The 13,287-nt window shown below is 39.1% G+C and overlaps 1 protein-coding gene across 5 annotated transcripts in view; it reads left to right on the top strand.

Moving 5' to 3' along the window:
• The first annotated feature begins 5,116 nt into the window (after positions 1–5,116).
• Positions 5,117–13,287, top strand: part of POTEB (POTE ankyrin domain family member B) — a 31,407-nt gene continuing 23,236 nt past the window's right edge. For 4 of the 5 annotated variants that reach the window (NM_001277304.2, XM_017021858.2, XM_047432072.1 and 1 more), the window contains exons 1-3: positions 5,117–6,015; positions 10,398–10,512; positions 10,672–10,845. In NM_001277304.2, coding sequence (NP_001264233.1) covers positions 5,606–6,015; positions 10,398–10,512; positions 10,672–10,845 — 699 coding nt within the window. In that variant the 5' untranslated portion in view covers positions 5,117–5,605. The remainder of the gene's footprint in view (positions 6,016–10,397; positions 10,513–10,671; positions 10,846–13,287) is intronic. The other variant, NR_102391.1, reaches the window with a different exon arrangement.

The raw sequence follows: 13,287 nt of genomic DNA, 5'->3' as shown, positions 1-13,287 counted from the left end.
TTGCCAAGTGATCTTTTTCCCCTATATTTTAAATCCATGTGCAACTTAAAAGAAACTTAGACCATATGCTAGTTCAGATTCACTTATATTAAAATCATGAAAATTTTATTTAATAGCTCTTTGACACACAGGGAGTGTTTAAATTAAGCTTCTCTAAATTTTACATTTCTCAAAATACACTCTCTTTCCTATCTACCCTCAACTACTCCTCACTACTCTCCAAGAAAATATCAGGTTTAATTCAGGAGATGTAAGTTGGATGTTGTCAGTCCATCAACAATGATTAAGTAATTTAAAAAGCATTCTTTTCTTCACTTCTTCCCTAGATTTTTTGTTTCTTTGTTCGTTTAAATATCTCTGTGCAAGTTCTGAACAGTTTTATTTATATCAGGATCAATAATCTGAGGAATGAAATAAATTGTTGCATTTGTTGCAATAAATGAGTTTATGCTTCCTTTACAGAACATTAAGGACATGAATTTTAAGAACATTTTAATGTTTCACTATAAATGATACTTGAGCCTTGCATTAGAATACATAAGGTAAACTTATATAAAGAAAAAATAAAAATCTTCTCCTTCTCATCTGCATTTGCAATCCCACATGCACTGAAGTAATCAATGTTAATGGTTTTCTGTCCATTCGGCCACACCTCTAATGGATGGAATTTATGTAGTGTAATTCTTTGTCAGGTACAACTACACATGAGTAAAACTAGGTGTGATTTAGAACTCAAGATTAGGATTTTTATCTAGTAGTGAAATGGGAAGGGAAAAGCAAAAGTAAAATATACATCAACTAATGGCAGAATGGTGTATAGAAGGGAGTCATCTGTATATATGACATCTGATGGCCCCGCCACTCAGCTAACCCATCCACACATGAAATAATAAGTAGACAAGTGCATTGAAAATTGTAAGTGTGACAGAAAGGTCACCACTTGATTGCTACTATTATATCGTTTTATTATTTTGTTCTCCCAACAATGTATAGCTCAAATTTATACTACAGGCTGTTCATATCCCTTAACAAAATATCCATTAATTTATGAATTTGATAAAATTCTAACTTACTGCAGTGCCCTACAAATAATAGTTTGGCCCATCTGTGGTGATGACTGTTCTGGAAGATCTTTCTGATGTTGAATAACTAATATTGTGTTTCAATGTTACTATTAGGTTGGTGCAAAAATAATTGCGATTTTTGCCATTAATCACAACTACATTTGCGCAAACCTAATAGTAATTTAACATTCTGTATCTAACATTTGTGGACACTGATCGAATATGCAATATTCTGGGGAGAAGTTGGTGGAAGAGATGTGTGTTGTTTTGTGAAAGATAGTATTCTGAGGGAAGGCAGAAAAGGGATATACATATAAGAAAATAGTGGATCTTGATCAGATGCACACTTGTTCCTATTTACAAGAAGTCTACTCTGTGTTACTGAACAAATCAACTTACATGAAGTCAACTAATTCCAAAGAATTTACCGTCTAGAGAAATTCACATTTGTAATAATAAATACTTTTCTTAATGACAGAAATTTTATAATATGTCTTTTTTACTTTATAGCTATAACCGTAGAGTTATAAAATCTAAATACAGACAAGCCTACCCAGTGTTTGATTATATTCAATGATGTTTAAAAGTAATGGCCTCTCTTTTGTTCTTACTGGGAAAATTATCATTAGCACAGTGCTTCATGCAGGCTCTTATTACTTCTATCTTCCATTGTTATGATTGGCAAAGCACAAAGCCATACTCAAATTGGAATGCTTGGGCACATTGCAGTATTTATCACAGGGTGGACTGGATACTGAGTTTCTTAATTTATAAATATTTCTTTCCAATGCAAAATTCATGAAGGCTTAATGTTGGGAAATGTCTGAATGGCTATAAATTCCCTTCCTAATTCCCTCCCCTCAATGCATACCCATTTTTTTTTGGCTCATTCTTAGAACTGTAGCTGTTCTTGAATCTTTGATGAGTTGAAGCTAATCCACATTCGGATTTTACAATCTCATATAATTGCCAAAATTCTACCCTTCAAAACACTTGTTTCTTTCTTTTTTTTCTCTTACATTTCCTCAAAGAAAATTAGTGAAAAAACAATTTTTTATTTGGTCTGAAACTTTATGGTGGAAATCTGAGGACAGGAAGAAATTTAGGGACTTGTTCATGCACTTTTGATTTGGCGAATGCCTGGAATATATTTTTTTCTCTCTGCACAATGCAAAGTAGTTGCACTCACAAAGTATCAATTAGAAAAAGAAATTCTTTCCACATTTCATCAGAGTTTTAAGTGGTTACACCACAATAATCCCCAGCTATTTGGGAAATGGTAAAAAAAAAAAAAAAAAAACAACTTTGAAGATCAAGCCATCATTATTATTTTCACTAAAACCTAAAAATTCAGCCACAATATGTCAAACCAGTTGGGACAGGACTTCCTTCCACTAATTTAGTTTTTACTGCTGGATACCTGATGGGCTACTTACTATATCAGGTGTCTCATAGGGCAAATTGTACCTGGAGATAAAAAAAAGAAGAAAAAAACAGGCTCCAACCCCTAGCAGCAGAATACAGCAGAACATTTAGGTACCCACAGAACATAAACCAAAATGGACTGTATCCTGGATTTTAACAAACATTAAGAATTTTTTAAAAACTGAAATCCTGTAGAATGTATCCTCCAGCCAAAATGGCATCAAATTAAAAATAAAAAAGTAAAATAACAGCAGAATCTTAAATACTTGAAAAATAAACAGCATACTTTTTTAGTTCTTTTTTTTACATTTTTATTTATTTTAAGTTCTGGGGTAGGTGTGAAGGATGTGCAGGTTTGTTACATAGGTAAATTTGTGCCATGGTGGTTTTCCCTACCTATCAACCCATCACCTCGGTTTAAGCCCAGCATGCATTAGAGATTTTTCCCAATGCTCTCCCTCTCCCTCCCCCATCCACAGGCCCCAGTGTGTGTTGCTTAATTCCCTGTGTCCATGTGTTCTCATTGTTCAGCTCCTACTTATAAGTGAGAACATTAGATGTTTGGCTTTCTGTTTCTGCATTAGTTTCCTGAGGATAATGGCTTCCTGTTCCATCCATGTCCCTGCAATGAACATGATCTCCTTCATTTTTATGGCTGCATAGTATTCCATGTTGTATGGGTACTGCATTTTCTTCATCCAGTCTATTACCAATGGGCATTTAGGTTGATTCCATGTCTTTGCTATTGTGAATAGTGCTAAACAGCAAGCACACTTCTAAGGAGAACGTCTCAAGGGAAACAATTAAATATATTAAACTGAATAAAAATAAAAATACAACATATCAAACTTGATTTAACACAGTTGACGTCAGTGCTGAGAGGAAAATGTATTTCACTAAATATATATAATAGAAAAGTAGAAATCTCTCAAATAAAAATTCAAGCTATCACATCAAGAAAGTAGAAAATAGTAGCAAAATAAAATCAAAACAAATATAAGAAAGAATATAATAAGGATAAGAGCAGAAATAAATGAAACAGCCAAAAGAAAACAACAAAGAAAAGCAAAGAAATAAAGCTGGTTCTTTGAAAATATCTATAAAATTGACAAACCTTAACTAATAATGATAAAGAAAAAAGGGATGTCATAAATTACCAATTTCATGAATGAAATGGGCTAACATTAGCAGTAGAACTCAGCAATGTACACAAAGAATTACACAGCATGTCCCAGTGACGTTTACTCCAGTGACTGCACACCTAGACATTCATCCCACTGAAATAAAAACTTTTTTTTTGCACTTGCAATTGGCTTCCCCTCTGCTTTTGTTGGCAGGAGCAGGTCGGTGTCCCAGGCTTAGAATCCATTTTTCTCTCTCTCCGTCTGTCTCTCTGTCTCCGTCTCTGTCTTTGTCTCTGTCTCTCTCTCTCTCTCTTTCTTTTTTTTTTTTTTTTTTTTTTTTTTTTTGAGACGGAGTCTCGCTCTGTCGCCCAGGCTGGAGTGCAGTGGTGCGATCTCGGGCTCACTGCAAGCTCCGCCTCCCAGGTTCACGCCATTCTCCTGCCTCCCGAGTAGCTGGGACTACAGGCGCCCACGACCATGCCCGCTAGTATTTTGTATTTTTAGTAGAGATGAGGTTTCACCGTGTTAGCCAGGATGGTCTTTATCTCCTGACCTTATGATCCACCCGCCTCAGCCTCCCAAAGTGCTGGGATTACACGCGTGAGCCACAGTGCCCGGCCAGAATGCATTTTTCCTCCCACACCAAAGCACCTGCAGTATGGGTGAAGCAGCCTGGAGCCTGGCTGCATAAGCCTGCACAGCAGGAGGGTCCCAGCAGGAGGGTAGAGGTGCCACTGCCTGGGTCCAGCTCACAGGCTGCCAGGGAGGCTCCGATCTGGCTCCCTGGTGCTGGCAGTGTCCTGTTCCCAGGATCTGCACGTGGGGGTGCCTTCCTGCATCTCCCCATCAGTGGTAGGTGCTCCTCCCAGCCCCCTCTTGCAGGCCTGGAGACAGCGGCCTGCACCTCAACCCTACTGCATGCCAGTGAAGCGAAGCACCCCGGGCCAGAAGCCCCACAGCTGTTGGCCCTGGTTTGGACACCAGGCAGGGGGCACCACAGCAGGAGCTAGCAGCCCAGCCCCGATTCTGTGGCCCCGAGTGCCCCGTTGCTGATGGCCCTGTGTTCTGGGTGCGGACCAAGGAGGAGCAGGTGTGGAAGGCGCCTCAGGCAGGCCCTGGGCTCCGTGGGCGTCTTGTGCTCGGAGATTTTGAGGCCATTTGCATCCAGCTCCGCCAACCAGAGCTCTAAGCTGCAGCGGCGGCCACCCGCAACAGCGCCACCACTAGTGTCTTGGGGGCTTTCTTCAGAGGAGGCTGTCAGCATCCTCGAGTTCCAGGCGCTCTAGCCCCAGTCCTGCTTCAAGAGGCTTTTTCCCACCACAGGCTTCTCTCCTCAGTGGCCAGAAAGCTGGGCCAACTCCCATGAACTTTGCCAGTAACGCAAGGCTGTCACTGACATTTGTGGCGCCAAGACTTGCGCACGCGGATTGCACACATCGGCCACTTCCTGGACCACGTGCAATGACACGCGCACGCCTCACGCACACGCCGCATAACGTCTGAGGCGCGCGCCCCGCACGCGCGCCCCCGCACGCGCATAACGGCTTGGCTTACCTGTAACGGGTACGCTTCGCTTCGCGTTCCTCGCTTGGCCTTGCGTTCCTAGCTTGGCTTGGCTGTTAGTAGCTTTGCCTGGTGTTTCTTGCTTGGATTGGCGTTTCCTCCCTCGCATTCCTTTGCTGGACTTGACCTTTTCTCTGCTGGGTTTGGCATTCCCTTGACTGGGCTGGGTGTTTCCTTGGGAGGGGGGGCTTGGCCTTTCCTGGGGTGGGCGTGGGGTCCCCCTGGTGGGCGTGGGCTTTCCCCGGGTGGGTGTGGGTTTTCCCTGGGTGGGGTGGGCTGGGCTCCCTTGCTGGGGTTGGCAAGTTTTGGCTGGGATTGACCTTTCTCTTCAAACAGATTGGAAACCCAGGGTTTCCTGCTAGTTGGTGAAACTGGTTGGTAGACGCGATCTGTTCGCTACTACCGGCCTCCCCTGGCTGTTAAAAGCAGATGGTGGCTGAGGTTTGTTCAATGCCCGCTGCCTCTGCTGTGAAGAAGCCATTTGATCTCAGGAGCAAGATGGGCAAGTGGTGCCACCACCGCTTCCCCTGCTGCAGGGGGAGCGGCACGAGCAATGTGGGCACTTCTGGAGACCATGACGACTCCTTTATGAAGACACTCAGGAGCAAGATGGGCAAGTGGTGCTGTCACTGCTTCCCCTGCTGCAGGGGGAGCGGCAAGAGCAACGTGGGCACTTGGGGAGACTACGACGACAGCGCCTTCATGGAGCCGAGGTACCACGTCCGTCGAGAAGATCTGGACAAGCTCCACAGAGCTGCCTGGTGGGGTAAAGTCCCCAGAAAGGATCTCATCGTCATGCTCAGGGACACTGACATGAACAAGAGGGACAAGCAAAAGAGGTAACCGGGCCTGGGATGGGAGGAGGCGGGACATGGGGTGATGATGGGGACATACCCTCCTGGCGCAGGGAGGGAGGAGCCAGGCTTTCTCTTCCTCCGCAGGCCCCACACCACCCTGGGTGTGGAAACCTCAGAGATGTCAGGGCCCAGGTCCCTTTATAAACAGCAACACAAAAACAAAACTTTAGCTGATTTCCAATCCAATTATAATTTCCCTTATAGAACACTAATAGACGGTTTTAAAGTGATTTAACTCGCAAAATTAAGTCGATGCAGCAGATTATTTTTAATGTACACATTTTAAAACAATGTTCTATACACTATAGAAAGGTGTATATTGAGAACTAAGTCCCATAATATATCAACTTCTGGGCTAAATATTTTTCAAATAAAATCCAATATGGATTTTATATCGATGTGTACCCTATGTAAACACGTTCTTTACTGAGTAACCTTAAAAGGAAACTGAAATGGGAAGTATGGTTCATATCTTTGAATAGGAAGGTTCGTTTTTCTTAAGATGTGAGCTTTTTCTGTGTTTATCACTTTTACATAAGCCAAATAAAAATAGCAAAGTCTTAGTGTCTTTAAATTGCACATGATGTATTTTATCATTGTGATAAATTGATTTTTTGTAACAGAATGGAAAAAGACTTGCTTTTCCAGATATCAAAATGTGCGTGTGTTATTTCCACAAATTGTTTACTAACAGCTGAAAAGACATAAGTGAACAGAACAGAATAGGAAATCCAGAAATACCCACATATATGTAAGAATTTAGCACTTGATAATGGTGATGTTTCATATTGGTAAAACAAGGTGAATTATTCATAAATTAAATGCATGCTGTTTGGAGAAAACTACCTAGATTTTTATGTCACAAAAATAAGTTCCTGGAGTATAGATTAAAAATTTTAAAGATACAAAAGGAGAAAAGTACCAGAAGAAAACACAAATGCCTATTTATATGTGCAAATATTTATTTATTTTTCTGAGACAGACTCTCACTCCATAGCCCAGGCTGGAGTGCAGTGGTGCAATATCAGCTCACTACAACCTCTGGTTCCTGGTTCAAGTAATTCTTTGCCTCAGCCTACCAAGTAGCTGGGATTACAGGCACCCACCACCATGCCTGGCTAATTTTTTGTGTTCTTAATCAAGACGGGATTTCACCATCTTTGCCAGGCTGGTCTTGAACTCCTGTCCTTGTGATCCACCCACCTCAGCCTCCCAAAGTGCTGAGATTACAGTCATGAGCCACTGAAACCGGCATATATATGCAGATATAATAAAATAAGCTCAATTTAAAATTGGGCAAGGTACTTTTTTGCATGTCTACCAGTGACCTGTGTACATAGGAAAACATAGCATTCCTGCTAAGAGAAGGAATTTAAGTTAGAAGAGGAATGAAAGACTATTTTCTGTTTAAGTTAGAAGAGGAATGAAAGGCCAGCCATGGTGGCTCATGCCTGTAATCCCAGCACTTTGGGAGGCCAAGGCAGGTGGATCACGAGGTCAGGAGTTTGATACTAGCCTGGCCAGCATGGTGAAACCCGTTTCTACTAAAAATACAAAGAATTAGCTGGGCATGGTGGCATGCACCTGTAATCCTAGCTACTCAGGAGGCTGAGGCAGGAGAATTGCTTGAACCAGGGAGACGGAGGTTGCAGTGAGCTGAGATTGCACCACTACACTCCAGCCTGGGTGATGGAGTGAGACTCCATCTCAAAAAAATAAATAAATAAAAATAAATAAATAAATATAAAGGAATGAAATACTGTTTTGTGTCCACAAAGTTTGTGAGGGTGAAGAACAGTGGTACTTATATACCTGCTGAAAGTTTAAGTTGCTGCGACTTTTCAAATAGACACTTTGATGGTAAGAACCACATTTTTAAAATGTGTATGCCTTTTACCCATCTGTTCCATTATACCGAAATATCTATATGAAACAGACACAGCTGTTTTTCTTAGTATTGCTTAAAATAGCCATGTATTGAGAAGAACTCATATAAAGATTTTATGAACAAATTTCAGTGCATCCATAGGATGGAATAATATGTAACCATTGAGGGTGTCAGTAGATACAGAGATATGTCGGCATGCAGAGATGTACTTTGCTGTATCAAGTGAGAAAAAATCAGTTTGTTATACATATACACAAATAGAATCTGCTCTTGTGTTAGCTGGAAATATGTGGAAAATATAATCAAACTTATTTCTGGGGATTTGTAAGTGAAGTTTTTCCCTTTCTCTTATCTGTGATTTCTGCAATGAACATCTGCAAAGTTTTAGTTAAGTTTCATTAGTAATGAAATAATCCTTGGGAAGAGAAGGAATATGCTACTTGCATAGATACAAATAATTTCTTACATTCTATTATTTATTTTTATACCTGTGGATGGCTATCTTCTGTGAACTTTTACCCTCTTCAGAAGTAGAGGGCTTCTGTTTACCTCTTCTGGTAGATTTTATTGTGTATACATCTTATTATATATAGATTGATGTGTAAATAGTATGGATTAATTATTTTAGTTTAGTTATATATTTATGAAAACTAAAATAGCAAATATAAATGATCGTTACTATCGCAAATGTATTGCTCTACTCAACAGGAGTTTTCTTTTAAAAATATTGAACTTCCAACCTATGTTTATCCATTCTTTCAATCCGTTTAGTCATCAAACATAAGCCAGACACCTATTATATGGCAGGCATATTCTGCTATCTCTCAGGATCCTTCCACCTTTGAAAACTTCATGTTTACCTGCTGCGCCTGAGCAAGCTGAGAGAATCAAAATTGGGGCATTAGGACTTAATCTCAATTGAAGCTTTTCCTCCCTCCTTTCAAACAAAAGCACTTCTGAAGGTGGAAAATAGTAAAAGATAACCCTTAACTGCCCTTTTGAAAATGTATAAGACTTGGGTAAACACTGTTTTAGCTGTTTTAAGAACTTAAATGTGGTACATAAACAGCATGGAATACTATGTAGCCACAAAAGAAAGAACAAGAGCCTGTCCTTTGCAGGGACATGGATGGTGTTGAAGGCCATTATCCTTAGCAAACTAACATAGGAAGAGAAAACCAAATACTGCATGGTCTCACTTATAGGTGGGAGCTAAATGAGGAGAACACACAGACACCTAGAGGGAAGCAACACACACTGGGGCCTATCAGAGGGTGGAGGGTGGGAGGAAGGAAAGAAGCAGGAAATAGAACTAATGGGTACTAGGCTTAACACCTGAGTAATGAAATAATCTGTACAGCCAACCCTCTTGGAACACGTTTACCTATGTTAACCAACCTGCACATCCTGCACCTGTATCCCCGAATGTAAAAGTTGAAAAAAGCTCCACAAATAGTTTCATAAATCCATTTTAAAAAGAGAAAATTTATAACAGTCTTAAATCCTAATATGAATGATTGGAAATATCTGATGTACATACGTTGTATAAATCTAAGTATTGAAAAAAATGAGCCCATGCTATTCATTTGAATTTCAAGATTTCTTTGGCTTAAAGTTTTTGAAAACCAAAGTAAGAAATAGATTATTTTAGAAAATTGTTTTTGTTTTCACCTCAGCCCTCTTATTCCATAGTTCTTTTAAGAACTAAAATTTATCTAAATGCTAGTCATCTGACTGGAACTGCCCCAGACCTGTTATATTATAACATATTCTACTTAATGTAAGGCACCAGGGATTGTATGATGCCCCATTATTTTATGTCTCACTAAGAAAATTATTTAAATGCTGCCAATTATAATTATAGTAAATCATGAATTAATAAGTGGTATTTCAGTGTAAGAAATGTTAAAACATGGAGACAATGATCATCTTAGACTCAATAAAATACAGTACAACGCTACCTGTAATCTTTAAAATGTACCTGAAAGTGTAGGTATAATTGTATCGTTTCACTTAATTCAAATGTTGTCTTTAGTGGTATTAGTAAAAATTATAATATCTTACAATTTTTGAGCTGTTATTTGTGTTAGGAACTATTCTATATTTTGTGTAGAGTCTTATTTAAGCATTACAGTGGTTTCCTCTGAGAAACTGACTATTTTCATTCCCATTTTATTGATGAGGAAATTGAGACACAAAAAGGCTAAGCAACAGCTAGGAAGCGACAGAGCTTCAAGTAGGATTCCAGCCCAAGTTGAATGTCATCCAAGAGCTATGCTCTTTCTATTCAAATAGGCTGCTCTTTCATTAATACAGTGACTAATGAGAGGTAATAAGTAGTGTGCTTTCTTCAAAGGAAAATTGAGTTTGTTTTGAAGGCAGAGTAATAGGCTATTCAGTGTTTGCAACTACATGAATCATTAATGTGGCATTAGCTAGTGCACTACAATTTCCTGAAGTCTTCTCACTCTCATAGGACTGCTCTACATTTGGCCTCTGCCAATGGAAATTCAGAAGTAGTACAACTCCTGCTGGACAGACGATGTCAACTTAACGTCCTTGACAACAAAAAAAGGACAGCTCTGATAAAGGTATGCAGTAGTCAACTATATCAGCGTGAGATGGGTTTGATTTCAATAGATAGCATAAAAATGAGTTTTCTCATTTAAATATAACTAGTTGGTGAAAGCTGTGGAATGTTATTTTGAATTCCTAGGACTTATAATTTGTTTTTGGTCTAATACTGACAGGCCGTACAATGCCAGGAAGATGAATGTGTGTTAATGTTGCTGGAACATGGCGCTGATGGAAATATTCAAGATGAGTATGGAAATACCGCTCTACACTATGCTATCTACAATGAAGATAAATTAATGGCCAAAGCACTGCTCTTATATGGTGCTGATATTGAATCAAAAAACAAGGTATAGATCTACCAATTTTATCTTCAAAATACTGAAATGCATTCGTGTTAACATTGACCTGTGTAAGGGCCAGTTTTCCGTATTTGGAAGCTCAAGCATAACCTGAATGAAAATATTTTGAAATGACTTAATTATCTAAGACTTTATTTTAAATATTGTTACTTTTAAAGAAGCATTAGAGGGTACAGTTTTTTTCAGTGCACTTGTGGTTAATGCTTTTTAAAAAAAAAAACACTGAATTTGTAAAAGGTAATACTTTTTTTTTTTTCAATTTTTCCCTGCCAAGTTTTTTTTTCCCTAACAAATGTAAAATGACAAAATTTGCCCTGGAAATAGGTTTTACATTAAAACTCCAAGAAAACTTAAACATGTTTCAGTGAATAGTAATCCTGCTACTTTGGCAAATTCCTAAAAAAACACTAATAGATATGAGGTGATGTATCTCTCAGTGGCAAGGCTTAAGATATTTCTGATTGCTCATGAGGCAGAATTGGAAAGGGAAAAATGCAGCAATCAGAAATACCAAGGCCAACTTGGAAATTAGGTAATGGGGGAAAAGACCATGAAGAGGTTTTTTTTTGTTTTTGTTTTTGTTTTTGTTTGTGTGTGTGTGTGTGTGTGTGTGTGTGTGTGTGTGTGTGTTGTTATTGTTGTTCATTCATTTGTTTCCTTTATATGGTGAGACAGGGTTCTTTTCCATTTTAGAGAATGACAGTTTTCAGTTTGGGAGAGGGAGTTAGTGGGTTGTAAACTGCCTAGAGATCAATTTTAGGAGGCCTCTGAGGAACCAGACTGGCAGTGAATATGTGGTAATGTAGTGGGAAACCCTTGAGTAGAAGGAATAACAAGTAATTAACCAACTTAGTATCCTATTCTGGTAGAAATGGCCAATTAGAGTCTCAACTCTGCTTTCAATTCTAGAATGTCTTGATGGGAAGGTGGGAGATAAGGGGCTTATAAGTAAAAAGATCAGGTTGGATTTTGAGTTTACTAGACCTTGTTCTACTCTTACCGGGGAAAATTTTGTGGTGTTTTCAGCAAATGAGTCTCTCTCCTACTCTTTCCTCTTTTTGGCCAAATCCTCAAACGATAAAGGGAATTGTTTATGTGATGAGAGATGAGACTGAAATAATTGTCTATTGCACTAGCTTCCAGCTAGAGTTGTGCATTCCAGTTACTTCAGGAAAATTTTTAAATAATCTTCAAGTCTAGGTTTTCCCCTGAAGATTTTGATAGAGTAAGTCTAATAAAGCCTGGATATGTATGTTTAAAAATGTTTCCTTGAAGCCAGGCATGGTGGTGCATGGCTGTAGTCCCAGCTGCTAGGGAGGCTGAGGTGGGAGGATTGCCTGAGCTTAGGAGTTCTAGTCTAGCCTGGTCAACATAATGAGACCCTGTCTCTAACAACAACAACAACAAATTTCTCAAAATCCGGATACACTCCTGCTTAACCACTGAATACATAAGTGTAATATGTAAATTCTTATATCTCAGAAACTTCAGATATTTCTAGAAGAGTTGGAGTTGGATATGTGCTAATTCCTTTAAATCTTTCCTTTCCAATAACATTAATCTAAATTTTTGTTTGTTTGTTTTTGAGATGGGGTCTCACTCTGTTCCCCAGGCTGGAGTGCAGTGGTGCGGTCACAGATCACCACAGCCTTGACGTCCCTAAGCTCTGGTGGTCCTCCAATCTGTTTTTGTATTTTTTTTTTTTTTAGTAGAGATGAGGTTTTTGCCATGTTTCTCAGGCTGATCTTGAACTCCTGGGCTCAAGTGAATCACCCACCTCAGGCTCCCAAAATGCTAAGATTACAGGTGTGAGCCACCATTCCTGGCCTAGTCTGACTTATCTCTGTCGTTGGGACATTAAAATAAATATTATTGGCACTATCTATCAGCTTACAGAATAATACCTTTTCCTTTCTACCATCAGTTATTCACTGCCATTCAGAAGGTCTTTAGAAATTTGCAGTGAGTAGTCTTCCAATAAGTAGAGGATGGCTCTCTCAGGACTTTGTGTCCCTTTGTTCAATCATTCAAGTGCTTAGGTCAGTAAGTCGTTTTTAAGAGCAGAGTTTTCTCAGAATTGTAGCAAATTCTAAACCTTTTTTGTCAATTGAAGCTATATTGTGGGCTATCCAGTATGTCTCTTAAGTTTGTAGAGCTTTGGCTTAATCAGGATGGCAGGTTTAAACACTCAAAACCATGGAGTTATTAAGAATACATATAGGAAATCTCTTAGTTTCAGTAATCCTATGAACTGATTATCTATCTAGTTAACAATCTGGAAAAATTAAATACAAATAGATTTTAAATGAATAAATGTTGGAAAAAATTCTTGAAATGGGCAGTGTGAGTATTAATAGCAATATTTATTGCATGTTGGAGCTTGAACTTTGGTAAAACATGTGAAACTAAAGAAATATTTTACATTCAAAT

Source organism: Homo sapiens, chromosome 15 (genome assembly GCF_000001405.40).
Source record: "Homo sapiens chromosome 15, GRCh38.p14 Primary Assembly".
NCBI lineage: Eukaryota > Metazoa > Chordata > Mammalia > Primates > Hominidae > Homo > Homo sapiens.
Note: the sequence above shows the minus strand (reverse complement) of the source record. Positions and strands in the feature narration are given on the sequence as shown.